General features: G+C 44.6%; 1 annotated feature.

Moving 5' to 3' along the window:
- Positions 414 to 914: an enhancer, noted in NCBI's record as "H3K27ac hESC enhancer chr10:20716465-20716965 (GRCh37/hg19 assembly coordinates)". NCBI's record gives its function as "activates a minimal SCP1, AML or CMV promoter by ChIP-STARR-seq in primed H9 embryonic stem cells {active_cell/tissue: H9 hESC(primed)}" and the evidence as "EXISTENCE:reporter gene assay evidence [ECO:0000049][PMID:30033119]".

The following is a 1,150-nucleotide window of genomic DNA, read 5'->3' as shown; positions in this document are numbered from 1 at the left end:
TTTTTGTTTCAGGAATAGTTTTATACTGCCTCTTTTTTAAAAAAAATACATTTTATTTTTTAGAGCAGTTTTTATTTTACAAAAAAATCGAATAAAACTACAGTGAGTTCTCATTTATTTCCTCCCTCCTGCCAGGTTATCTTCCAAAGTGGCTGTGCCATTATGCATTCTTACCATCAGTGAATGCGGATTCCTGTTGCTTCGTATTTTCACTAGCATTTGATTATGTCAGTATTTTGAATTTTAGCCAGTCTAATGGGTGCATGGCGGTATCTCAATGTTGTTCTAATTCATAATGCTTCAATGATATATGATGTTGAACATCTTTTCATATGCTTATTTGCCATCTGTATATCTTCTTTGATAAAATGTCTGTTCAGATATTTAGCTTATTTTAAAATTAGAATAGGGAAAGGAGCCAATATGACTGACAAGATGCATCTGGAAAAAGCTTCTCCCACTGAGAGACCAGATCATCAAGAAGACTAGCACACTCTCAGCAGATCTTTGGAAGGCAGACTTTGAGATTGAATGGTGAGAGGACTCAGACCCTGGGATGAAACAGAAGGAAATTGAGGTCCCAGCACAGGGTTGTCAAGCACCAGGATTTGTTCCTGGCTCCAAGTGGCTTTTGGGGAAGGAATGAGTTACATATGTGTGAAATGGCCCACTCTCACCACAAACCTCCAGAATCCTAGCTGCAGGAGACCCAGTGGCCACCATGGACATTTGAGCTGGAAGGGAGAACTGCTTGAAGGGGTGGCAGGGACAAGACTCTGGTCTGCATAGAACCCAGAGGGTTTGACGCAGGAATGCTGGCAGTGGAGCACTCTTCCAAGGCTTGCAATGCTCATGTAGGTGGTTGTGGCATTTGTTGAGTGTCAGACCTGTATAGAAAGGGGCTATCTTGCAGTTGGGATGGGACCAGTCTAATCTGAGTGCCCTGCTATCTGCTGGTTTTTCCCAGGGTCCCTGCCTGGCTGCAACTGCTTGCAGCACAGCCTCAGATGCTCAACCAGGGCACGTGCCAGTGGCCACTGCCGTAGCTCTTTTGCTGGTAGACTTTGCCTACCCATCAGGGAGCTTTGGCAAATGAGCTCCTACCAATGCACACCTGCCTGCAGCCTCCTCCCACTGCTTTGCCAATGTT

The sequence above is a fragment of the Homo sapiens genome, chromosome 10 (genome assembly GCF_000001405.40).
Source record: "Homo sapiens chromosome 10, GRCh38.p14 Primary Assembly".
In the NCBI taxonomy this organism is placed as follows: Eukaryota; Metazoa; Chordata; class Mammalia; order Primates; family Hominidae; genus Homo; species Homo sapiens.
This window is presented reverse-complemented; position numbering and strand designations above follow the sequence as displayed.